General features: G+C 42.1%; 1 protein-coding gene across 4 annotated transcripts in view, besides 1 other annotated feature; it reads right to left on the bottom strand.

The window, feature by feature from the left end:
- Positions 866 to 1,020: a silencer, noted in NCBI's record as "fragment chr3:196568870-196569024 (GRCh37/hg19 assembly coordinates)". NCBI's record gives its function as "represses an EF-1alpha promoter that drives an FKBP-Casp9 reporter gene in an ReSE screen in HepG2 liver carcinoma cells {active_cell/tissue: HepG2}" and the evidence as "EXISTENCE:reporter gene assay evidence [ECO:0000049][PMID:32094911]".
- The window catches only part of PAK2 (p21 (RAC1) activated kinase 2), a 92,791-nt gene continuing 75,547 nt past the window's right edge, over positions 10,372 to 27,615 (bottom strand). For all 4 annotated transcript variants that reach the window (NM_002577.4, XM_011512870.3, XM_047448218.1 and 1 more), the window contains exons 12-15: positions 24,863 to 24,962; positions 22,452 to 22,648; positions 15,686 to 15,823; positions 10,372 to 14,700 (exon numbers count right to left, since the gene is read on the bottom strand). In NM_002577.4, coding sequence (NP_002568.2) covers positions 14,614 to 14,700; positions 15,686 to 15,823; positions 22,452 to 22,648; positions 24,863 to 24,962 — 522 coding nt within the window. In that variant the 3' untranslated portion in view covers positions 10,372 to 14,613. The remainder of the gene's footprint in view (positions 14,701 to 15,685; positions 15,824 to 22,451; positions 22,649 to 24,862; positions 24,963 to 27,615) is intronic.

The following is a 27,615-nucleotide window of genomic DNA, read 5'->3' as shown; positions in this document are numbered from 1 at the left end:
TGGTGGTCCTCACTGTTCATTAGACGCTAATTATAATGCATTAGCTGCTGAAGGACACTCCCGCCAGCACCATGACAGTTTACAAATGACATGGCAACGTCAGGAAATTACACTGTATGGTCTAAAAAGGGGAGGAATCCTCAGTTCCGGGAATTGCTCACCCCCTTCCTGGAAAACTCATGAACAATCCACCCCTTGTTTAGCATAACTGTAAGTATATTCAGTCAAGCAGCCCAAGCTGCCGCGCTGCCTATGGAGCAGACGTGCTCTATTCCTTTCTTTTCCTTTTTTTTTGAGACGGAGTTTTGCTCTTGTGGCCCAGGCAGGAGGAGCTCAATGGCACAGTCTCGGCTCCCTGCAACCTCTGCTCCCGGGTTTAAGTGATTCTCCTACCTCAGCCTCCCGAGTAGCTGGGATTACAGGCGCATGCCAACACTCCCAGCTAATTTTTGTATTTTTAGTAAAGATGGGGTTTCACCATGTTGGCAGGATGGTCTCGATCTCTTGACCTGGTGATCCGCCTGCCTCGGCCTCCCAAAGTGCTGGGATTACAGGTGTGAGCCACCCCGCCCGGCCCTATTCCTTTACTTTCTTAATAAACTTGCTTTCAGTTTACTCCGTGGACTCCCCTGGAATTATTTCTTGCATGAGGTCCAAGAACCCTCTCCTGGGGGATTGGGTCCCTTTCCATGAACACCTTTCTACCTCTTCTCCTTCCAAAAGTCCAGAGTTTACTCAGCCACAAAAGCTCCTCAATATAAAGTCTACCAAAGGCCAGGTGCAGGGGCTCACACCTGTAATCCCAGCACTTTGGGAGGCTGTGGCGGACGGATCACAAGGTCAGGAGTCCAAGACCAGCCTGGCCAATATGCTGAAACGTCTCTACTGAAAATACAAAAATTAGCCAGGCATGGTGGTGGGCGCCTGTAGTCCAGCTACTGGGGAGGCTGAGGCAGGAGAATCGCTTGAACCTGGGAGGCGGAGCTTGCAGTGAGCCGATTACACCACTGCACTCCAGCCTGGGTGACAGAGTGAGATTGCGCCCCCCACCCCCCAAAAAAAGAAAAAAATAAAGTCCACCAAACTCTGCAATTCTGAAAGAGGCCAGTCTTCAAAATTGCCTTTTGTGCCTCATTTCCCTATCCACTAATTCAGACACACAACAGGCCCTCAGCATGTTTAGGAGTTATGACTGAAGAGCATCTGAATGGCGAGTATTAAAGTTTGCACTAAATTATCCTGAAAAGGAGGCAAAGGGGGTATACAACGTTCATTCATCTCTATTGGATGCCTTTTTTTCTTCCTCCTAGAAGCAGGATCCCTGAATTAGGATAGGCTGAAATTTATAGGCTTCCCAACTATTCTCCTTTTTGAATATTATTATTATTATTATTATTATTATTATTATTATTATTTTGAGATGGAGTTTCACTCTTTGTGCCCAGGCTGGAGTGCAATGGCATGATCTCAGCTCACTGCAACTTCCACCTCCTGGGTTCAAGCGATTCTCCTGCCTAAGCCTCCCAAGTAGCTGGGACTATAGGAGTGCGCCACCACACCCGGCTAATTTTGTATTTTTAGTAGAAACAGGGTTTCACCATGTTGCCCAGGCTGGTCTTGAACTCCTGACCTCAGGTGATCCACCCACCTCAGCCTCCCACAGTGCTGGGATTACAGGCATAAGCCCCGGTGCTGGCCTCTACAGGCTACTTTATGGCTTCTGTAAAGTGTCTCTTTATACTAAAATTTAGAGGACTATGTATTTCTGACTTTGAACCAATGTTTCATTTATCTGGCTTAAATTGAATTAAATTGTTTCTCTTTTGAAGTGCAATTTCAACTATCCATAAAATAGTTTCCAATCCAACATTTAAAATCTTTCAGTAAAATCCTCCCTTTTTGTTTATTTATTTATTTTTTGAGACAGAGTCTCACTCCATCACCCCAGGCTGGAGTGCAATGGTGCGATCTCGGCTCACTGCAACCTCTGCCTCCTGGGTTCAAGCAATTCTCCTGCCTCAGCCTCCTGAGTAGCTGGGATTACAGGCGCACGCCACCATGCCCAACTAATTTTTGTATTTTTGTAGAGATGGGGTTTCACCATGTTGGCCAGGCTGGTCTGGAACTCCTGACCTCAGGTGATCCAAAGTGCTGGGATTACAGGAGTGACCATTTCTAGGTACTTTGTATTTTTGATCTGTTATAAATGGTAGATTTTTAAGATTATGTGTTCTATTTGTTGCTAGTGCTTAGCAATATAATAGACTCTTGCACACTGATTTTGCATACAGCAAACTTGCTAAATTTCTTAATTTTAATAGTTTATCATATCAACCTTATCTGAAAATAATGAGATTTTATCTTGCTTTCCAATTCCTTTTTTTTTTTTTTTTTTCGAGACCAAGTCTCACTCTGTTGCCCAGTCTGGAGTGCAGTGGCGTGATCTCGGCTCACTAAAACCTCCACCTCCCAGGTTCAAGTGATTCTCCTGCCTCAGCCTCCAGGATTACAGGTGCCCACCACCACGCCCGGGTAATTTTGTATTTTTAGTAGAGACCAGGTTTCACCATGTTGGCCAGGCTGATCTCAAACTCCTGACCTCAGGTGATCCACCTGCCTCGGCCTCCCAAAGTGCTGGGATTATAGCCGTGAGTCATTGTGCCCAGCCATTGCTTTCAAATTCTTTTTTTTTTTTTTGAGATGGAGTTTCGCTCTTGTTGCCCAGGCTGGAGTGCAATGGTGTGATCTCGGCTCACCACAACCTCAGCCTCCCGGGTTCAAGTGATTCAGTTCACTCCTGGCTGGCACAGTGGCTTCACTGTAATCCCAGAACTTTCGGAGGCCGAGGCACGTGGATCACCTGAGGTCAGGAGTTCAAGACCAGCCTGGCCAACATGGTGAAACCCCGTCTCTACTAAGAATACAAAAATTAGCCAGGTGTGGTGGCTCACACCTGTAATCCCAGCTACTCGGGAGGCTGAGGGAGGAGAATTGCTTGAACCTGGGAGGCGGAGGTTGCAGTGAGCTGAGATCATGCCACTGCACTGCAGTCTGGGCAACAGAGCAAGACTCTATCTCGGAAAAAAAAAGTTCACTCCTAATTTGCTAAAATATATATTTTTAATCATGAATTGATACTGAATTTTACTAAATGCTTTTTTTTTTTTTGAGATGGAGTTTTGCTCTTTTTGCCGAAGCTGGAGTGCAATGGAGAGGTCTCAGCTCACTGCAACCTCTGCCTCCCAGGTTCAAGTGATTCTGCTGCTTCAGCCTCCCGAGTAGCTGGGATTACAGGTACATGCCACCATGCCCGGCTAATTTTTGTATTTTTAGTAGATACAGGGTTTCACCATGTTGGTCAGGCTGGTCTCGAACTCCTTACCTCAGGTGATCCACCCACCTCGGCCTCCTAAAGTGCTGGGATTACAGGCGTGAGCCACCGTGCCCAGCCAATGCTTTTTTTTTTTTTTTTTTAAGAGACAGTGTCACTCTGTCATGTGGGCTGGAGTGCAATGGTGCAATCACAGGTCACTGCAACCTTGAACTCCTGGGCTCAAGCCATTCTCCTAGCTCAGCCTCCAGAGTAGCCAGGACTATAGGTGTGCTACCATACCTGGCTAATGTTTTTTTATTAGGTTTTTTAGAGACAGGGTCTCACTATGTTGCCCATGCTGGTCTTGAGCCTGGCCTCAAGTGATTCTCCTGTGTTGTCCTCTCAGAGTGCTGGGATTACAGGTGTGAACCACTGGGCTCAGCCACTCTCTTTAATCTGTTGAGATGCCCAGATAATCTACTAATACTGTAAATTATCTTGATTTTTACATGCATAAGCCTACTTGTTTAGGATGCACTACCTCTTTCATACATTGCTAGATTCGGTTTGCTAGTAATATATTTAATAATTGCACATTTGTATTTATGAGATTATCCTATACTTTTTTTTTTTTTTTTTGAGACGGAGTTTTACTCTTGTTGCCCAGGCTGGAGTGCAACGGCACGATCTCGGCTCACTGCAACCTCTACCTCCTGGGTTAAAGTGATTCTCCTGTCTCAGCCTCCTGAGTAGCTGGGATTATAGGTGCATGCCACCATGCCCAGCTAAAGAGAGGGAGTTTCACCATGTTGGCCAGGCTGGTCTTAAACTCCTGACCTCAGGTGATCCACCTGCCTCAGCCTCCCAAAGTGCTGGGATTATAGTTGTGAGCCACTGCGCCTGGCCTATCCTATAATTTTCTTCTTCAATTATTTTGGTATCATGGCTACTCCATCCTTATAATAGAATTTGGGGAATGTTTTCTATATCCTCAAATACTTTGTGCAGGATTGGAATTTTTTCTTTGAATATTCTTAGAACTCATTGGTAAAACTGCCTGGGTGTTTGCTCTAAATTTCATCCAGGGAATGGGGAAGAACTACCCCTGTAAAATGGGTTAGAAGAGAGGGAAACAAACATAAATTGTCTTTGATTGCAGCCTTCAAGAACTGCTTGGTCTACAAAACTGACCAGTATCTAGGTATAATGCAAAGAGAAAGGTCTGAAAAGATGGAAACTAGTAAGAGATTTCCTTTGGAACGGGGACTTGGACTGGGATTGAAGAGGCTTTCTTTTGTCTGAATGGCTGAAATTTTATAAATCAGAATGTATTTCTCTATTATGTAGTTACTTTTTTTTTAAGAATAAGAATTATTACAGGGAGCCAGGCTCTCTGGAGCACTAGGAAGTTGGGGAGACACCCAGACTTGTTTTCTCTCCCTATGAGAATGTAGCTTTGCTGATACCAAGTTTGACTCAAGAACCAAAAGAACTCCATGTTTCTGAACAGTGAGACTGCTTGTAACATTGAATAATGTTACATTTGAGTTCTTCCAGAATGGGACATAAACCCGAGGATAGCAGGGCAATGGCAGGAATTGGGCTTTCACCTCTGGCAGGCTCCATCTTTGAGGAGCATGACAGTGGGAGCAGCACCCCCTAGAGGACACTTAGGGGCCAGGAACACCCATGAAGGACTATTTGCTCAGGGTCACCTAGGCTCCTGCTAAACTAAATCAATCAATTGCTCAATCAGGAATTTGTAGCAGATACTTGTGGTCTCCTCCCACGATGGATCACTAAACTTGCAACACTGCCAATTACATTTAAACTGCATTTATGACTTCATAAGCAATTACGTTTCTTCAAAACTAGCTCTCTAGCTGAGATGAGGCCTAGAGAGTTGAAAAGTTTCCAGTTCCTTAACCCAGAAGAGCTGAAATTCTACCTGGATAACACTGAAGAGATTAATGCTCTAGCCCCTTTTCTCATATCTAAAAGTGAGCACCCCATCAACCATGTAGTATCAAAGGAGTCAACAGACGGGGCAGTGCTCTGTAGAAATAGTAGGGGAAGAGCTACAAAAAAATTCCAATAGAGCAATTTTCACACTCAAACTATAGTAGTCACAATTATATACTATTTCCATCCCTCCTTCTTCACTAACGAGTCTCATTTTATCTGGAGAAACACTCTTCCCTAGACTCTCTTGCAGCTATGAGGTGCCAAATGACAGTTCTGGCCAGTGGGACAGAAGTTGAGGGTTTCTGGGAAAATTTGTGTTCTCTCGATATAAGCACTACTCCCTTGTGCTTTCCACGTTGCCTTTTGCCATCTCTCTTTCTCCTGCTTGACACCCGGACAAGAGGTTGGAGGTGCACCAGCCATCTAGTATCTATGTTGCAACAGGCATTAAGGATACAGGCCTACATGCTAAGAATGATAGAGTGACAACGTGGAGTCCCAAGTGCTGGTGGGGTTGCTGGACTCCCTGGTTGTCCCAGGACAACCCCAGACTGACAAACACTGAACTTCCTGTTACATTAAAGGTACTAACACTTTGGAACCTGTGGTTTACAAACTTATTTCTAATAGATACATAAAACAATTCTTGGCTGGGTGTGGTCGCTCATACCTGTAATCCTAGCACTTTGGGAGGCCGAGGCGGGAGGATCACTTGAGTTCAGGAGTTTGAGACCAGCCTGGGCAACATAGTGAGACCTTGTCTCTATTTAAAACAACAAACAAACAAAAACTTCAAAAACCAATTCTTGAATTAAATTTTTTTCTTTGCAATCTCTCTTCAGGAAAGTGATTATCCAAACTACAATGCACAGTCTCATATTGCCAGCTATGCAATACTGTAAAATACACAATTTCACAATGTGTGGCCAAATAGGGATGTACTGGGGGCCTTCTTTGTGTAAAGCTCTGTAACAGCTGGGTGTGGTGGCTCACGCCTGTAATCCCAGCATTTTGGGAGGCTGAGGTGGTGGATCACTTGAGGTCAGGAGTTCAAGACCAGCCTGGCCAACAAGGTGAAACCTTGCTTCTACTTAAAATACAGAAATTAGCTGGGTGTGGTGGCTCACTCCTGTAGTCTCAGCTACCTGGGAGGCCGAGGTAGGAGAATTGTTTGAATCCGGGAGGCGGAGGTTGCAGTGAGCAGAGATCATGCCACTGCGTTCCAGCCTGGGTGACAGAGTGAGACTCTGTCTCAAAAAACAACAAACAAAAACTTCAAGAACCAATTCTCAAATTAAACTTTTTTATCTGCAATATCCCTTCAGGGAAGTGATTATCCAAACTACAATGCACAGTCTCATATTGCCAACTATGCAATACTGTAAAATACACAATTTCACACTGTGTGACCAAATAGGGATGTACTGGGGGCCTTCTTTGTGTAAAGCTGTGGAACAGCCAGACGTGGTGGCTCACGCCTGTAATCCCAGTACTTTGGGAGGCTGAGGCGGGTGGATCACTTGAGGTCAAGAGTTCAACACCAGCCTGGCCAACATGGTGAAACCCCGCCTCTACTTAAAATACAAAAAATTAGCTGGGCGGTAATGGCACGTGCCTGTAGTCCCAACTACTCAGAGGCTGAGGCAGGAGAATCGCTTGAATCCAGGAGGCAGAGATTGCAGAGAGCCGAGATTGTGCCACTGCACTCCAGCCTGGGCGACAGAGTGAGATCCTGTGTTAGAAAAAAAAAAAAAAAAGCTGTGTAATATTTGCAGCATAATTTCCATAATGCATCCATTTTTTAAATACGAGAGATGGGAGAAAAGTGCAAATAGCTCTGTGCAGCATCCTGTTACTTCTGCATCTGCTCCCGCAATATCAGAGGGGAAAAAAGCAATGAGAGGAGACTACATTTATCAAATGTTGACTTTGTGCTAGACATCATTCTAAATATTTTATTTGAAATGAATGAATTTAACCCTGAAAACCCCCTATGATGTAGGCCCTTGTATTATCACTCAAAACAAAGCACAGAAACAAGCCCACCAATTCACATTAACCGTTTTTGTGCACATTCTACTAGAGAGGGCTGTTACTAACTTCAAAAAGCGTAAGGAGTCCTCCCCCTAGCAGCAAATCTCAAAATTAAACACAGTTTCATTTAAAAGAAACTCACAAGTTCAAATGTGACTCTAAGATGAAACTAAGTAAAAATAAGCTTTCATACAGTTCTGTGTCTTGCTTAGTGACTGGATGGGGAACGTGCAGCAACAAACACTCGTGCACTCAGACCCATGATAACACCTTGACCAGCTGTGCTTTGTCATAAAAAAAAGACACTACGGAAATGGGACAGAGCAGGCGCATAATGGAACACCGTTTATCCGTGGTAAAATACGCAGGGCTGAAGGGAAGTGGAAAAGTATTTGCTGACAATGCAAGTTATATGAAAGTAGCTGATCCACATATCCAACAGTCCATGGCCAAAGGTCACTTTCAATGACACCACAGTCTTACGGCATGCTCCAATAGAGCATGAACAGATGAACAAATGAGATGGTCATTTACACTCCTACAGCACCAAGAGTGTGAACAAAACAGTGACAGTATCTATACTAAAACCTCAAATGATTAAGATTTTTAGTTTACTGAAAAACAGCTCAACAAAGATACTAGCAGCAAATCGTAAAGTGTACTAAAATGTAAGGAATATTGAATGTGACTAAGATGTCTTCTAGTTTCAATCCTGAAACTCCTTAAAGATTTTACTGACAATATATTAAAGCAATCACAGTTGGATTGTACTGTTAGATATTACTTAATTTTATGGCCGTGATCAACTAGGTTTTGAAAATGGTACACTTCTATTTTATTGAGACGGAGTCTCAAAAAGCTGTAGTGCAATGGTGTGATTTTGGCTCACTGCAATCTCTGCCTCCCGGGTTCAAGCGATTCTCCTGCCTCAGCCTCTTGAGTAGCTGGGATTACAGGCGCCCGCCACCATGCCCGGCTCATTTTCTATTTTAAGTAGAGACGGGGTTTCACCATGTTGGCCAGGCTGGTCTTAAAACTCCTGCCCTCAGGTGATAGATACACCCACCTCGGCCTCCCAAAGTGCTGGGATTACAGGTGTGAGCCACTGCGCCTGGCCCTATACTTCTATTTTAAATATAGAAGTCAAAGTGAAGTAGTTTATTAAGAATTGGAGGAAAATAGTTTTTTGGCAACGCGTTGATGATGCTGTGCTGTACATACCTACAGGTCTAAGAATGAAAAACAGAAATGTATGGCACTGTCACTCTATCTGGCACTGTCACTCTATCTGGCCTGTTACAGCACTACGAGGGTGAGACGTTTGCATCTGCTCCAGAGCAAACTGGGACGGATGAACGAGGGAATGCAACGGGCACCTTCTAACAACTATCCAGAGATGACGTATCCACGGGCGTCATTCCTTTCAAGATCAGGAGTCTCTTTTTTTTTTTTTTGAGACGGAGTCTCGCTCTGTCGCCCAGGCTGGAGGGCAATGGCGCGATCTCGGCTCACTGCAACCTCCGCCTCCTGGGTTCACGCCATTCTCCAGCCTCAGCCTCCCGAGTAGCTGGGACTACAGGCGCCTGCCACCACGCCCGGCTAATTTTTTGTATTTTCAGTAGAGACGGGGTTTCACCACGTTAGCCAGGATGGTCTCGATCTCCTGACCTCGTGATCCGCCCGCCTCGGCCTCCCAAAGCGCTGGGATTACAGGCGGGAGCCACCGCGCCCGGCGAAGATCAGCAGTCTCTTCACGTAACTCACAAGTTTATATAAATGCTGTCATTTTCTGAACAAATTGTTTCCCAGAAATGCAGCATTTTTAGTCTTTTTCCCTAACCCCAAACTAAGATGTATGGGTAAAACAGCTATAATCAGGATTATTGAGACTATAAAATTCTCTTTATAGAGATATAGGCAATTACCAACTCTTTTTTTTTTGAGACAGGGGCCTTGCTCTGTCACCCAGGCTGGAGTACAGCGGCACCATCTTGGCTCACTGCAACCTCTGCCTCCCAGGCTCGAGCCATCCTCCCGCCAAGCCCTAGAGATAGAGCTTCTGAAATTAACCACAGGCTTTTAAAAGTTTTCTTAGGCAATGCTTTGAGCATTTGCTATTAGTTCAAAGAAATATAAATGTTAGAACAAGACGAAACAGCCATATAGTGTAACAAATACATTTCAAAGTCATTGCCTCCCCTTCTCACCCAGAATATATATATATATATATATATTTTTTTTTTTTTTTTTTTTTTTTTTTTTTTTTTTCTTTTTGAGACAGGAGTCTTGCTCTGTCACCCAGGCTGGAGTGCAATGGCATGATCTTGTCTCACTGCAACCTTCACCTCCCGGGTTCAAACAATTCTTGTGCCTCAGCCTCCCAAGTAGCTGGGACTACAGACATGTGCCAGTACACCTGGCTGATTTTTTTTTGTATTTTAGTAGAGATGGGATTTCATCATGTTGCCCAGGCTGGTCTCCTGCCTGAGCTCAGGCAATCCGCCAGTCTCAGCCTCCCAGTGCTAGGATTACAGGTGTGAGCCACCACGCCTGGCCTTATTTTATGCTTTTTGATAGTAAACCATTATTGTGGCTGTTCCCTATGTTAGGGTACCTAAGATTCCAAATTAATTCACATAATGAAGTGATGCCTTACGACGTATTGCACTCTAAAAGGTTTCTTGGTTCACTTAACACAGAAATTCTGATCAGGTTTTTATTACTCCAGCAAGGTGTGTGTTCAAATCAGAACTGTTTCCCTGGGTCTGATAGAGAAACATTGATAAAGAAAATTATTCTGAACTTGATTTAGAAAGGGAAAACTTCCCCTAACTACTCAGGAGGCCGAAGCAGGAGAATCACTTGAACCTGGGAGGCAGAGGTTGCAGTGAGCTGAGATGGCGCCACTGCACTCCAGCCTGGAAGAAAGAGTGAGACTTGTCTCAAAAAAAAAAAAAAAAAAAAAAAAAAGGAAAACTTCATGTTTACTGCCCACACATTTCTAGAAACCTTCCTACTTTGGAGCTTTGTAATAAATTCAAAATGATGGCACAACACCATTAAAAGGTTTAAAACATTTATCACTAAAAATACTAAATGTTCTTTGAAAACCTATTAAGACATTTAAATATTCTTTTATGCTATCAAAAGACATTAAAATATTCTTTTACGCTGATCAAAAGAAAGAATAAAAGTTTAGGAAAGGGAAAAATGCACACTTTTTTTAAAAAGTTTATTTCTAGCCCTGAAAGAACAAAATTATTGAACAAAGTCAAAATACAGCAGTTAATGTCAATGTATAACAATTAAATAATTGAACGGGATTAAATTAAAAATAAAAGGCATAAAATTTGAAGACAACAGAAAAGACAAAAACTACTTTTGCTTAATTCCATTTCTATCAAAACAAGAAAAAAAAAGCCAATGCGTTCCAACCAAAGATGTTGAATTCCACACGTAACTGTTTCTCTTATTACTTCTGTTCTCTTAGAAACACTTCTAAGTTCTAAGAGAACAGAAGTGTGCTTGACAGAACTATCATCCATTTCTTTCTGCCTCTGTCTTGGCAGCTTTCTAGAGAAGTGAATGGGAAAGACTTCGGTTCTTTCAAGGCCAGGCCAGCGCTTGCTTCTTCTTTCGAACTCCAACCTCATCCACCACAGCATCTTTGCCAGAGTGTTCAATCAATGTGTTGACTGAGAAAAAAGAATGTGTGTATCTATTTTTTCTTATATACACACACTATCAAAAAACTGATTTTACCAGTTTCAATACCTACTGTGGGAGCAGCGGAGACAGGAAGACAATCTGCTTTTTGTATTACTATGAAGTTCCACTATAAAAAACCCCAAATGAGTATTAATCTGGATTTTAGCTATAATCTATAATATTTTGACACTGACATTTCACTAGATGTGGATCTCAGTATATTTTAAAAGATTTAGACTCAAAAATGGATGCAAATTCTTTAAGCATCTATTTTGTTTTTTTCTAATTTTAGCTACTACCTGATCAGATCTAAAATTATTCTGGCTAGAATACAGTATATACAAACATGTATTTAAGTGAGCCCTAAAAGAAATACTCATAGGTGGTTTAGAATCGCTTGTTAGAGGCACAGGTTCGTTTACAGTTGCTGGTTACTAGACTGTACGCAGCTGGACACTTCTATGTTAAAGGGAAGAGAATGAATACTATGTGCCAGGCAGTCAACACATGAAGACAGAGTTGTATTAGCCTCAGTGTCTTATGCTTCACAATTACTCGTTTACTTTCAGGTAGGATAAAATGTTCCATGTTTCATAGTTTCCCAGTTTTAATTGTCCCTAAAAGCAGCAGAAGAAAAAAGAAAAAGAGAAGATAACTTTAAATCTAAAATAAAATAAATAAGTACTATAATAATACTGTCCTAATAACACAAGAGGACTATTAAGGTAACTTTCAGATTTAAATGGGAATTTTCATTCTAAAGTGATGACAAAAAGGGTAAATATAAAAGGCAATTATTTAAAAAACATGAGGCCAGGTGCAGTGGCTCACGCCTGTAACTGCAGCACTTTGGGAGGCCAAGGTGGGCAGACTGCCTGAGCTCAGGAGTTGGAGACCAGCCTGGGCAATGTGGTGAGACTCTGTCTCTACTAAAAATACAAAAAAATAGCTGGGTGTGGTGGCGGGTGCCTGTGGTCTCAGCTACTCAGGAGGCTGAGGCATGAGAATTGCTTGAACCCAGGAAGCGGAGGTTGCAGTGAGCTGAGATCATGTCACTGCACTCCAGCCTGAGTGACAGAGTGAGACTCTGTATCAAAAAAAATAAAAATAAAAAACATGAATCTTGATTCAGATATAATTTTTCTTTCAACAAGTTCTGAATGTTTTAAAATTAATAAATCACAATTCTGTATTACTTTTAAGATTGTTTAAAAATGACACATTTCAAAATTAACCAAAGTATATTTCTGTTAGAGGTTAGTTTATCCACGTAACTTAAGAATAAACCACAGCGTAGCTCCCTTAACCAAAGAGCCAGGTTTTAATGACAAGTCAGTTGCCAGCAATGGACGTGCAGGTAACTATCGAAGAAGTCGCAACTACAAATCCCAAACTGCTTCTATCAATGGAAAAGCCCTTTGTTGAGTCACAAGCCTGAAACGAGGCGTTGGCACATAGTCAGTGAGGATGGTCTTTGACTTAGGAGGGAAGTGCCTCTGAGTACATGAGGATCACAGTCTTCTCATCTCGTTGGTTTTCTATTTCATTGGTAGCATCTTCTTTATCATAATCCATCCAACTGTTTACAAAGAATGGTAAAATTTGGAACTCAGGTGGCACTGCAGCTTTCTGCCAGAAATAAACCAGTTTCTATAATTCAGTAATAGCTGTAGAAGGCCAATATATTCCAGAGAAAAATGAAATCAAGAATTATATTGAAAACAGAGACCATTAAGTGCTCTAAATATGTTTCATTAATTATTTTACTCATTTTTCTGAAAATCTTGCCTTATCAATAAAAAACAGTCACTTCTCTCCTTATAATTGCATCTTATCATAGATATAGTGGAAATAAAATAATGGAAATAAAACCTGCCAGTTTCTCCAATGTATACTACAACAGCAAAATTATTTTTTATTCATGATTTATACTACTGCAGGATGGCAAGCAGGGGGGAAGTTAATGGGGGAAGGGGATGGTGGGAACAAAATGCCAGAACCAAACCACAGATACTTGAACAACACCCACTCCAAAAGCAAAACAATGAATAAAGGAGAAGAAGAGGAGAGGAAAAAAGAGAAGAGAAAAGGGAGGGGAGGGGAGAAGGGAGGGCACTCAAATAATTAATGCTACAGGTCTCAGACCTTTTAGAATCTTTAAAAGAAACAAATTATTGCTATCAACACGCACATTTCATTTTCCTTTCTCGTTTTTTACAATAGTCTCTACTTATTTGAAAAAACAAAACAAAACTAAACTAAAGTAACTCAACATCTCAAATGATCTATAAATTCATCAAGAAATACTCTGTCGCTCAAGTTCTCATAGATAATACCACACTGCTGACGACCTGGGGCAATGCCACCGCCGCCAAGTCTCTACAGTCGATTTGCTATCGGCTGCTTCTCTGTAACACTAACATTCTCTTTCATGAGTATAATCTCTTCTCACTGTATCAGAGCTCACCAAGGTTCACATCTCTTACTGCCTCTGCTGCTAGTCCCAAATATTTTTCTCCTTTAAGTGGAAAAAAGCTAATTTTTAAATTCCTGAAAATTCACTGGTTATTATATTATTTGCCATGGGAGGGGGTATCTGTGAGGTGAGAGAGGATTAATGAAAAAGAAAAAGAACAAACCTAAACCTAAAATTGCAACATATACAGAAATTTATTTCCAAATTGAAGGGGGAAAGGAGGGAAGAAGGTAGTGGCACTAACCAAAGTCACAAAGCCCAGGTTGGAACAACAACAAATCACTTTGGTTCCTAGAGCCAAGCCTGAAGGGGAAACAGGCAGAAGGGAAGACAAAATGGGAAGAAGTCTACAGTCAATGGGAATCTTTTTCTATCTCAATGATTTAGTTATAAATAGAGATTATTAGTCTTCTCTCTATACATGTAACAAATGCCGAACTTACTACCACGAAATTTCTAAAACTGACTTTTTCACATTTGTTAAAAAAGGTAAAAATCACATACTTTTCTTCCCTTCCTTCAGGTCAAGTTCTGAACTAAAATATTACATGTAACAACAGCTGGTCCTAACTTTTATACAAAGTGAAACTATATAGAGCTCCTTTGCCAACATAAGGAGCTACATAATTTCTATTACACTTGCCTAGGCATGAGAAACGCAAAAGCAACTCAAAAGGAGCAAGTCCAGGAAAAGAAAAGCTATGAAGGAGAGAAAGACTAGCAGATGAAACACATACTCTGAAAAACTCCAATCTGCCATTCAAGTATTGGAAATACCCCAAAGGGGACAATGAATGGGATCTATTACAACAAAGTCAGCAAAGTAAAATGCAAATCTCACACATGATAAATGGCCCTGATAGGCTGTTTGCTGAAAGACCTAAGGCTAGTGATTCAGTCCACAATTCCTTCTGGACCCTAAAGAAGGGGTTCATATAAAAGTCATACTTGTCTTTTTGCAATTTTCTCTTGGTTGTCTTCAGAGAATAGTCATTTGCTTCTTTCATTCAGGTTATGCAGACCATTTCTTTAAACCCCAAAAAGAGTAATAATTTTCATATACTAAAAGGCTTCTTGTAGAAAATGGAAAAAAGAGTATGAGGCCACAGCAGTGATGTTAACGGTTACTCTTCATTGCTTCTTTAGCTGCCATGATCAGTGGTGTCAAGCTAGATAACGGTTTGGCCAGTTTCAGGAAAGGATGCTGCCAGAAAGAAGGGGAAAAATAAATGTATAAGTGCCATTCATCAGGTTAGAAACAAAATAATTTTGTTCAATTAAGCCCCAAAGACTACTTGTCGATCATAATTTAATAAACTAAACACATATTAATACCTTCATAAGACTAACATAATCAACGCATTACTTTCAGAGTTGAATGAAAGCAGAATCATTTTAGTTTGACAAATATACACACAACAGCAATAAACAGGTCTGAGGAGTGATACGATGCACAAACTGTAAACAGGTCTGAGGATTGATACGATGCACAAACTGTAAACAGGTCTGAGGATTGATACGATGCACAAACTGTAAACAGGTCTGAGGATTGATACGATGCACAAACTGTAAACAGGTCTGAGGATTGATACGATGCACAAACTGTAAACAGGTCTGAGGATTGATACGATGCACAAACTGTAAACAGGTCTGAGGATTGATACGATGCACAAACTGTAAACAGGTCTGAGGATTGATACGATGCACAAACTGCACATTACGGTTTTGTCAGAATTTTATTCACAGCAGATGAAACCCTCACTTTTTTTTTTAATACTTTAAGTTCTAGGGTACATGCGCACAACGTGCAGGTTTGTTACATATGTACACATGTGCCATGTTGCTGTGCTGCACCTGTTAACTCATCATTTACATTAGGTATATCTCCTAATGCTATCCCTCCCCACTCCCCCCACCCCACAACAGGCCCCGGTGTGTGATGTTCCCCTTCCTGTGTCCAGGTGTTCTCATTGTTCAATTCCCACCTATGAGTGGGAACATGCAGTGTTTGGTTTTCTGTCCTTGCGGTAGTTTGCTCAGCATGGTAGGATGAAACCCTAAATTGCAGCAGCTGCCATACCGCTGGTGATCAATGAGTAGTGAAATCTACTTATTAGCCCTAGGAAAGCTTTCTGTCGGTTACCAAAAAAGTCAACTATTCCCCCAAATGAAATCATTTTTAAATTTACCTGTAATAATTCTTTGGCTGAACCCCTTTTTTCCACATCCATTTCCAAACATCGATTTAAGAAATCCCGAAATATTGGGGAAAGTTTCTCTGGATTCTGAAGTTCTGGGGTTCCATTAGTTGCTATTAGGTACAAGGCCTAAAAATAGAAGAACATCTTTGATCCACTTAAGATAGCTCAACACGGTCACAGAGCACTCCATAAAGTCTAAGGGATTCTTTCTTCTTTAAAGAAAATCACCATAAATACTAAACTGGGGTTATCATTATCCCATTTAAATTTAGATTTGATACTTTCCTCTTATTTTTAGATGTTACATTTCCTTAAGTTACTTTTCTGAAATCAGATTCACCTTTGGTTTTTCTTCGGTTATAAATGCAATACATATTGCTTTTGTTTTGTTTTTTTTTGTTGAGACGGAATCTTGCTCTGTCACCCAGGCTGGAGTGCAGTGGTGCAATCTTGGCTCACTGCAACCTCTGCCTCCTGGGTTCAAGTGACTTTCCTGCCTCAGCCTCCCGAGTAGCTGGGATTACAGATGCATACCACCATGACCTGCTAATCTTTGTATTTTTAGTAGAGGTGGGGTTTCATCATATTGGTCAGGCTGGTCTTGAACTCCTGACCTCAAATGATCCACCTGCCTCGGCCTCCCAAAGTGCTGGATTGCAGGTGTGAGCCACTGTGCCCAGCCCATATTGCTTTAAAAAATAAAACAATGTTAATAATTAAAAATAACCACAACCTCACCATTGACCATCCTGTTTAGGTTTCTCAAATTTTTTTCAAGTCATACATATCATTAAAAAAAATGAGATTTGTTAAAACTTAAAAAACAAAAAACAAAACAAAAAAAAACCAAGGCCGGGCATGGTGGCTCACGCCTGTAATCCCAGTACTTTGGGAGGCTAAGGCGGGCCGGTCACGAGGTCAGGAGATTGAGAGCATCCTGACTAACATGGTGAAACCCTGTCTCTACTAAAAAATACAAAAAATTAGCCGGGCGTGGTGGTGGGCGCCTGTAGTCCCAGCTACTCGGGAGGCTGAGGCAGGACAATGACGTGAACCCGGGAGGCAGAGCTTGCAGTGAGCCGAGATTGCGCCACTGCACTCCAGCCTGGGCGACAGAGCGAGACTCCGTCCCAAAAATAAACAAACAAACAAACAAACAAAAACAAATTAGGCTGGGCATGGTGGCTGATGCCTGTAATCCTAGCACTCTGGGATGCTGAGACAAGTGGATTGCCTGGGCTCAGGAGCTCGAGACCAGGCTGGGCAACATGGCAAAACCCCATCGCTACTAAAAATACAAAAAAAAAACAATTAGCTGGGTGTGGTGGCACATGCCTGTAGTTCCAGCTACTCGGGAGGCTGAGGCAGGAGAACTGCTTGAATATGGGAGGTGGAGGTTGCAGTGAGCCAAGATTGCACCACTGTAACTCCAGCCTGGACAAGACAGCAAGACTCTGTCTCAAAAATAAAAACCAAAAAAACAAATTATCCCAGGTCATCATTACTAATAACTACCTAGATCTATAAAATTACTGTAATGGCTTAAGTAAATATTGCCTTATATGAATGTTTCCTAATTTAATCAACTCCCTTTAGAAAATCCTTACATAGTTCTAATTATTTCCTTTACATTTCTATAAATTGAATTTTATTTATTTATTTATTTATTATTTATTTTTGAGACGGAGTCTGGCTCTGTGGCCCAGGCTGGAATGCAATGGCACGATCTCAGCTCGATGCAACCTTCACCTCCTGAGTTCAAGCGATTCTCCTGCCTCAGCCTTCCGAGTAGCTGGGATTATAGGCGCCCGCCAAAATGCCCGGCTAATTTTTTGTATTTTCAGTAGAGACGGGGTTTCACTGTGTTGGCCAGGCTGGTCTTAAACTCCCAACTTTGTGATCTGCCCGCCTTGGCCTCCCAAAGTGCTGGGATTACAGGTGTGAGCCACTGCATCTGGCCTATTTATTTTTCTTTTCAGACACAGTCTCGCTCTGTTGCCCAGGCTGGAATGCAGTGGCATGATCTCAACACATGGCAACCTCTGCCTCCCGGGTTCCAGCAATTCTTGCAGCTCAGCCTCCCGAGTAGCTGGGAGTACAGGCATGCACCATTACGCCTGACTAATTTTTGTATTTTTAGTAGAGGTGGGGTTTCACCACATTGGCCAGGCTGGTCTCAAACTCCTAACCTCAAGCGATCTGCCCACCTTGGCCTCCCAAAGTGCTGGTATTACAGGCATGAGCCGCTGCGTCTGGTCCTAAATTATTATTTTTAACTGACTAATTTTTTAGAAGTTTTAGGTTTACAGAAAATTGAACAGATAGTACAGAGTTCCCACACGCAACCTCCCCAATGTGGAGTTTTATTATTGTCTACATTATTATACTATGGGACATTTGTTACAAATGAACCAATATTGATACACTTCTATTAAATTAAAGCCCTCAGTTTACATTAGGGTTCACTCTGTATTACATTACACAGTCCTATGGTCTTGTTTTTTTTTTTAATGCATTCTCGATATGTTGCCCAGGCTGGCCTTGAACTCCTGGGGTCAAGAGATCCTCCTGCTTCAGCCTTTCAAGCAGCAGGGACTACAGGTGTGCACCACCGTGCCTAGTTGTTCCATGGGCTTTGACAAATGAATGCTCTCCAGTGTCCGCCATTATAATATCATACAAAGTAATTTCACTGCCCAAAAAAATTCCCTGTGCTTCACCTACTCATCCTCTCTACCCCCGATCCCCTGCCAAACCCCATAACCACTAATCATTTTTACTCTCTACAGTTGAAATAATATGTAGCCTTTTTAGACTGGATTCTTTCACTAAGCAATATGCATTTAAAGTTCTTACAACTGAAATGCAGTCGTGAGATTGTTTTAATGAACTTCTGTCCGTTCCAGTTGCCTGGAAGTTTTTCTCATTATGGGCTGCATCTGCCTGCTCCTTTGCCTGTCTGGTAAACTTTGACTGATGTCTGGGTGATTGCTGGGTCCTGGCTATTTCTGTATTCCTACCAATATGCTTTTTCCCCCCATCAGGCAGATAAAATCTTGTTGTATTTGAATGACTGGATCTATGTAATCACCAAGATCCACTATGTACAGACGAGAGAGGGAGACCTTTATTTCTTAGTTTCTTCCTCCTGGGACAGTCTTAATGATTTTCTCTTGGCCCAGAGGCACTCTCCGTGGAACTACAGTGCTTTCCTGGTCTTAGAGCCATGTGCCCTGGCCTGGTCAATGAGAAGCTTCTTGAGGCCTTGTCTATCTTCAGCTTGGAATGAGTTCCGAAGAACCTGCTTGTTTCTGAACACGTCCCCCTTCACTTCATGTACAGGCTCTGATACACGTGAAGGTCAATCTCGGTAGATTCATAGTGTCTTCTGAGCAGCTGGGGTGGAATTCTCATCTTCCTCATCCAGGCTGCCTTTTTGGTAATGTGTGCATTAGCAGTTATGCCCATATGCCTGTGGGCCAAGGTGTTTTTTTCTTTTTTTTTTTTTTTGCGACAGAATCTCTCCCTGTCGCCCAGTTTCAAGCAATTCTCCCACCTCAGCCTCTCGAGTAGCTGGGAATACAGGTGCACGCCACCATGCCTGGCTCATTTTTGTATTTTTAGTAGAGACGAGGTTTCATCATGTTAGGCTGGTCATGAACTCCTGACCTCAAGTGATCTGCCCACCTCGGCCTCCCAAAGTGCTGAGATTACAAGCATGAGCCACCGTGCCCGGCCCAAGGTGTTTTTTTTGTTTGTTTGTTTGTTTGTTTGTTTGCGGGGATCCAGCCTGGGAATGGATAGTCACAGGCTTGCAGATGATCAGCCCATCTTTGATCAGCTTCTGGATCTGCTGATAGGAGCTTGGCGCTGGTGATTTTACCGATCTCACTGAGGTTCAAGTAGACCTTTTTGCCACAGTGAAGGCCACTGGAGGCGAGCCTCTTCTGAAGCCTGAGCGTACTCCTGGCTATAGACGCAGCCCTGTAAGACTCTTCAGCTTTGTACAGGAATGCAGTTGAGTTACTTGGGAACAGATCCCGTTAGTCTTTTCTCTCTCATGTAGACTCTTCTTTCAAAATACATCCAGACTCACACCACTTTTTCCCACCTCCACTGATACTGCCCTGGTCTAGGCCATCATCACTGCTTGCCTGAATTATGACATCAGCCTCTTGACTGGTCTTCTGCTCTGCCTTTGCCTTCCTCAGGGATCTCTCAACAACGCAGCCAGGGAAATCCTATTAAAACTGAAGGAGACCACTTTGCTTCTCTGCTCAGATCTCTCTAACAGTTTCCCCATTTGGCCTCCAGTAAAAGCCAGAATCCTTCCAGAGCTCTCATAAGGCACTACGGTCTGGCCTGGTTTCTTCGCCGATCGACCGCACCTCTCGCTGTTTGCTCAGCGTACGCCAGCTGTGCTGAGGTCCAGAATCATCTCTCAATACACAAGGAACGCTCCTGCTTTAGAGCTTTTGCACTTGCTGTGCCTTCTGCTTAGAATGCTTTTCCCTCAGGTAAGTATCACGCTCTTACTTCCTGTGTCCAAATGTCACCTCAGGGAAGCCCTCCCTATGCACGCTTTTGATTTAATTTTACATTTTATTTTTATTGTATTTTTTTTGAGACAGGTCCTAGCCGTCACCCAAGCTGGAGTGCAGTGATGTGATAACAGCTCACTGCAGCCTCATCTTCCTTGGGCCCAAGTGACCCACGCACTGGGGCAGGATGATGGTTCCAATTAGCTGTGACTACAGGCACACACTAACATGCTTGGCTAATTTTTAAATTTTTTTGTAGAGATGGGGACTCACTATGTTGCCTAGGCTGGCCTTGAACTCCTAGGCTCAAGCAATCCTCCCACCTTGGCCTCCCAAAATGCTGGGATGACAGGCGTGAGCCACTGTGCCCAGCTCTCTAAGCACCTTTTGAAAGTAAACACCCTAACCTCCTTCCTGCCAGTCTCAGTACTCAAGAGTCCATTATTCAATGTATGACACATTATTCTGATTTATTTTGTTTTTCTCTTTTCCCACTAGAAGACAAGTTCTGTAAGAGCAGGAATTTTTGTGGGTTCTTTTAGACAGCATTGTGAATAGTGCTCAGCGCATGGCAGGTACCCAAACCAATACTGGCTAAATGAATGAATAACATTAGAGGGCTTTAATGTCATTCTGAAAAGTGGTCTAAACTAATCACCTCTATAGAAGTACTTTAACGGCCCACATAAACTGGAATCTTTGGCAACTGGATGAAAAGCATTCAGGAAACAGACGGTCAGAATCTGCTGCCATCTGTTGTTCGGCTTCTTTCACTTAGCACAGTACTCTCAAGGTTCAATGCTGTAACACGGATTGGCACTTCCTTCCTTTCTATGACCAAATAATATTCCACTGTTCACCAGGTTTGAATTATTTCCACTTCTGTGGCTGCATGAAGGTTTCTGTATGGATGTATGATTTTAATTCTCTTGGCTCTGTACCCAGCAGAGGAACCGCTAGGTCATCTGGTAATTCCGTATTAACTTCACACAGAATTGTCAAGTTGTTTTCCAAAGCAGATGTACCATTTTATATTTTGCAATGAACGAGATTTCTAGTTTCCTTATCTTCTCACCAACATTTATTTATTTATTTATGGAGACGGAGTTTCGCTTTGTCGACCAGGCTGGAGTGCGATGGCATGATCTCGGCTCACTGCAACCTCCGCCTCCTGGGTTCAAGTGATCCTCCTGCCTCAGCCTCCCACGTAGCTGGGATTACAGGCACCCACCACCATGCTCAGCTAATCTTGTATTTTCAGTAAAGATGGGGTTTCTCCATGTTGGTCAGGCTGATCTTGAACTTCCAACCCCAGCCTCCCAAAGTGCTGGGACTACAGGTGTAAGCCACCGCACCCGGTCACCAATATTTATTAATTGTCTTTTTGAGTACAGCCATTCTAGTAGTTGTGAAGTGTTATCCTGTTGTGGTGGGGTTTTTTGTTGTTTTTTGCTGAGACAGAGTCTCACCCTGTCGCCCAGGCTGGAGTGCAGTAGTGCTATCTTGGCTCACCGCAACTGCCACCTCCTGGGTTCAAGCAATTCTCTTGCCTCAGCCTCTGATTGTTGAGGTTTTGATTTACATTTCCTTAATAACTGATAATGTTGAGCCACATATGGTAATTTAAAAAAAAGAGAAGTGGCCAGGTGCAGTTGTTCACACCTGTAATGCCAGCACTTTGGGAAGCCGAGGCGAGTGGATCAACTGAGGTCAAGAATTTGAGACCAGCCTGACCCAACATGGAGAGACCCCGTCTCTATGAAAAGTACAAAAATCAGCTGGGTGTGGTGGCACGCACCCATAGTCCCAGCTACTCAGGAGGCTGAAGTAGGAGGATCGCTTGAACCTGGGAGGTGGCGGTTGCAGTGAGCTGAGATTGCGCCACTGCATTCTAGAATAGGCAAGAGAGTGGGACCCTGTCTCAAAACATCTTAAAAAATAAAAGAAGGAGAAGCTTTAGAGACAGGTGCTCCAAACTTCCTACGTAAAATACAAAACAATACAGCTTACTACTAAAAACCTACAAAGTCTTCACCTAACACATTAATTTGTAACTCAGAGAGCAAATGATTTCTAGATGCAGAGTTAGGGGCAGAGATTAGGTTTTATCAACCTTCTACTTTAAATTCTTGGACAGTGCCAGGCACGTGCAAGTTCTAAATAAGAGTTTCAAAGAAAAACATTGAACAAGGCTGGTGTTTAACTCATCTTACCCTCAAGGGATTTTCATTGAGGTATGGAGGCTCTCCTTCTACCATCTCAATAGCCATGATACCCAGAGACCATATGTCGACTTTAGGGCCATAAGCTTTCCGTGTAACCACCTCTGGTGCCATCCAGTATGGCGTTCCGACCATGGTACTGCGTTTGCTCTGCTCAGGGGTGATCTGGGCACAGAAACCAAAGTCAGCTACAAAACAAAACAAAACAGAGTTAATGGCTTCCATGGATGGTTTTAGCAGAAGAGTTCACTTCAGATTATGTAATTAATTATATTTTGACTATTAGGCCTCTTGTTTTTAAAGATTTCATTAATAAAGTAAACCAGAATGAGTTTAAAAATATTTTCATGATGTAACACACTCTCACATTTTACTTTTACTTGCCACAGAGTCCAAATTATCAGGAGGCCTTTTATTCTGAATAATTCATTCTATCCTAAAAAATTTAATAAAACTGAAAGAGGTCTACGAAAAAGTAAAGCAAAAGTAGACACCAAAACTAAATGCAGTGAATCAGGTAAAGGTCAGGTCATGGAAACTACTTTGTCTTTTAATTTTGTTTAATTTTTAAAATTTTTTGTAGAGACAGAGTCCCCCTGTGTTGCCTAGGCTGGTCTTGAACTCCTGGGCAACATGGGAGGGATCTTCCCACCTTGGCCTCCCAAAGTGTTGGGATTACAAGTGTGCGCCATCACACCCAGCTGTAAACTATTTTTGAATAAAACAAACAGAAGCCAGAATCACTAAACATCCATCATCTCAGCAGAGAGCCTAAGGTCGCCACCAGCATTATCTTCTCAATCTCACCTGTAATGGAGGTGCAGGATGCCTAGTGTAGTACTCAATGTTCATTTAGTGGAAAAGTCAGGATTAGTATTTAGAATTCTTTCTTATACTGTTAAACCCATTCCATTTCATATGTGACTACTGTTAAAATTTAGGTTTGTAAGCTTTAGACTGTTGGTTATGCATGTACATATGCATGAATAATATCTATGAACGGTTTGGTTTGTATTACCAATCAGGATACTCTGTAAACTTTGGTAAAACCATTTCTTGAGATCTTTCCATATTAGTACATCTGCCTATTTAAAAAATTTTTTATTTTAAAATTTTTTGTCACAGGGTTTCACTCTGTTGCCCACGCTGTGTGCAGTAGAGCAATTTCGGCTCACGGCAACCTCTGCCTCCTGTGCTCAAGCCATCCTCCTGCCTCAGCCTCCTGAGTAGCTGGGACTAGAGGCGCCTGCCACCACGCCCGGCTAATTGTTGTATTTTTAGTAGAGATGGAGTCTTGCCATGTTGCTCAGTCTGGTCTCAAACTCCTGGGCTCAAGCAATCCACCTGCCTCGACCTCCCAAAGTGCTGGGATTACAGGCGTGAGCCACTGCACCCGGCCTCCCTCATCTTAAAAACTATACAGAATATAAAAATATAATAATCCATGTAATTATTCCCTTACTGCTCAACACTTAAGATAGTTTTGGTTTTTCTTTACAATATTGCAGAGAACATCCTTGTACTTACTGCGGTATGTAAGTTCAGAAATTCTACAGGAGAGAATTCTACAAGAGTAACAGTTAGGTCAAACAATATTTATAGCTAAAATGAGTACTTAAAACAATCCAGATACTGTTTAAGTACCTTATAAGAATTAAAATATTTAATCCGCATGGTAACCCTATGAGAAAGGTACATTTATTATTACAATTATTCCCATTTTACAAATAGGAATACTGAGGCATAAAGACAACTTATCCAAGGTTATTCACTTAGTAAATGGCAGAGCCAGAAAAAAAAAATGTCATCCAAAAGTTTAATTCATTTTCATGTGTATTCACCAAAAATGTATGAGAGCTTCCCCATTAAGATTACTTAAAAATAAGCAATCATGGCCAGCCGCGGTGGCTCACGCCTGTAATCCCAGCACTTTGGGAGGCTGAGGCGGGAAGATACCTGAGTTCAGTAGCTAGAGACCAGCCTGACCAATGTGGAGAAACCCCGTCTTTACTAAAAACACAAAAATTAGCTGGGTGTGGTGGTGCACACCTGTAATCCCAGCTACTCAGGAGGCTGAGGCAGGAGAATCGCTTGAACCCAGGAGGCGGAGGTTGCACTCCAGCCTGGGCAACAAGAGCAAACCTCCATCTCAAAAAGACAAGACAAGACATTACCTAATAATGTCTTATCTAGTGGTAATTATTAGGTAATGTCTTATCCAGCGAGTCCTTTCTCTGGCACTGATTAGTTAAAACCCTCAGAGGATCACTCAGTTTTCAAAGGTCTCACCTCTTCCTATATTAAATCATTATTAATCCTTGCATTGGTCAAGAAAAGTTTTTAATTAAACAAAAGGCAGAAAATTATAATAAATGATTGTGAATTGTCCATTTGTTACTCACTGAGCTTAACAGATCCTTCCATTCCCAAAAGTACATTGTCACTTTTGATGTCTCTGTGGATCACTTGATTAGCATGTAAAAACTCCAATGCCTGTAAACACTGAACAGAAGAAAAACACCTATTAATGAAATAGTCCCTGAAAAGACACAGGGAGGCACATGCAGTAGCTATGGCCTGAGCATTGCTTCCAGTGCCCAGCAGAAGACCCTCCAATACTTTTATTTATAAAGAAAAAACATCCTCTCTTATATACAAAGTTATGAAAAGTAATTAGATCTCCTCCTTAAAGTTTTATATAAGAAAATAAAATTTTTTAAAAAGTCAGTAGATCCGCTCCTACCCTCTGATCTTACTCAGAGACATTGTTTAGCTGGGTCTGTATAATGTCTTGCCTCCTGGCCGGGTGAGACAGGCAGATCACTTGAGGGCAGGAATTCAAGACCAGCCTGGCCAACATGGCAAAACCCCATCTCTACTAAAAAATACAAAAATTAGCCAGGGGAGGCCAGGCATGGTGGCTCACTTCTGTAATCCCAGCACTTTGGGAGACCGAGGCGGGTGGATCACCTGAGGTCAGCAGTTCGAGACCAGCCTGGCCAACATGGTGAAACCCTGTGTCTGCTAAAAATACAAAGAAAACAGCTGGGTGTGGTGGTGTGCACCTGTAACCCCAGCTGCTCAGGAGGCTGAGATAGCAGAATCGCTTGAACCTGGGAGGCGGAACTTGCACTGAGCCAAGATCGCACCACTGCACTCCAGCCTGGGTGACAGAGCAAGACTCCATCTCGAAAAAACAAAAAAAGACGGACAGAAAGAAAGAAAAATTAGCCAGGTGTGGTGCCTCAGGCCTGTAATCCCAGCTACTTGGGTGGCTGAGGCAGGAGAATCCCTTGAATCCAGGAGGCAGAGATTGCAGTAAGCTGAGATTGTGCCACTGCACTCCAGCCTGGGCGACAGAGCAAGACTCAGTCTCAAAAAAAAAAAAAAAAAAAAAAAAAATTGCCTCTTTCAGGTTTAAATGCCTAAAGGTATACAACACTTGGTAAACATGCACAGGCTCCTCAGAAATCTTTTCAACAGTAATGAAAAAACCTTGATCATTCCCATTTGAACATGAGATACTCAGAAGGCTAATCAATGTGAGCCACTGAGAAGCGGGTAAGATTCTGGGTGGCCTGGTTCCACTTAGCTGTTCATCAGAAAGAAGATGTTCTTCAGTGCCCGATTTTATATTAAGCTGTATCTACAACTTGGACATGAATGATGCAAGAATAACTTTCCTCTTATGCCATATTTCAGAGAGCACTGAGTCACAAAGTGGGGGTAAACTACTCCTTTCCTTACAAACGAGAACGAGATGACGTTTTAAAAATCTGCTCACTCTTGTGTTTTTGAACTACGGGTGTAAGTTAGCTGTGCTTTTATTTCTTACTCCCATCAGAGGAGAACAAAGTCTGTACAACTAAAAATCTCATCCAAAATCTTCTACTATTCATTCAAGGAAAAACAGATAAATTGGGTGTTACCGCAATACATTTACCAGGCAATCATCAGATTCAAAGCTCCAGAAAATACTTGTACAAATAAATAGAAACAAACTCGTCACAGTTTAAAAGTTCTGGCACACAAAAGAAAACCCAAATTAGAGGAACTTCCAAAATTAATTTTTATATCAATTACAAAGAAATGTATTAGAAAAAACAAAATTAAGTATAAATAGGTAAATTCTTGTTTTTATCAGCTTTTCAGTGACCAAGCATGCATTGTTAAGGACTATCATATTCTATTAATATTCTATTCAAGAGTTCTTATTTCCTCCCTTCTACCAAAGAGGTACTATTCCTCAGGTAGAACACAAATCAGAATTAAAATTTTAATATTTTTAACACCTTAATGACAGATGGAAAAGGGAAATATATATGTATCATCCTTACATGAACAAAGTTTGTAATTCACATGTCACTGAAGAACTGCTGAAAGCCAAATCATAGAAAACACAATATAGTCTTATAAACTTAAAGTTTTGCCCTTTGTGACAGTGATTCCTATGACATTAGAAGTTTCAATGACAATAAGCAAACCATTAGCCCAAATCTTATCTGTAGAAAAAGCTCAGATATAGGTGGAAAAAAGAAGGCTTATTTTTGGCTTAAATTGGCAATTTGGCAGAATTCTACTGGTTTAAGCTAATAATATGTCTAGAAATTCATTAATGAATATAAAGAAATAACCGGTTTCTTCACCATTAGTGAACTCAATGAAGCCAGGCACAGACTTATTGATACTGAAGGCAAATAAGTGTCCTGCTTGACCTGAGATAGTTCTAGTTTCCACGGTTGAGTGGCGTATTTCTTTCTCTTTTTTTTTTTTGAGACGGAGTCTTGCTCTGTCGCCAGGCTGGAATGCAGTGGCACGATCTCGGCTCACTGTGACCTCCGCCTCTTGGGTTCAAGCTAATCTCCCGTCTCAGCCTCCCGAGTAGCTGAGACTACAGGCGCGTACCACCACACCCAGCTAATTTTTGTATTTTTAGTAGAGACGGGGTTTCACCGTGTTGGTCAGGATGGTCTCAATCTCTTGACCTCATGATCTGCCCGCCTCGGCCTCCCAAAGTGCTGGTATTACAGGCGAGAGACACTGTACCCAGCCTCTTTTTTTTTTTTTTTGAGACAATCTTGCTCTGTTGCCCAGGATGGAGTGCGGTGGCGCAATTTTGGCTCACTGCAATGTCTGCCTCCTCAGCTCAAGCGAT

Source organism: Homo sapiens, chromosome 3, assembly GCF_000001405.40.
Source record: "Homo sapiens chromosome 3, GRCh38.p14 Primary Assembly".
NCBI classification, from domain to species: domain Eukaryota; kingdom Metazoa; phylum Chordata; class Mammalia; order Primates; family Hominidae; genus Homo; species Homo sapiens.
The sequence above is the reverse complement of the archived record's forward strand: the minus strand, read 5'-3'. Positions and strand labels throughout refer to the sequence as shown.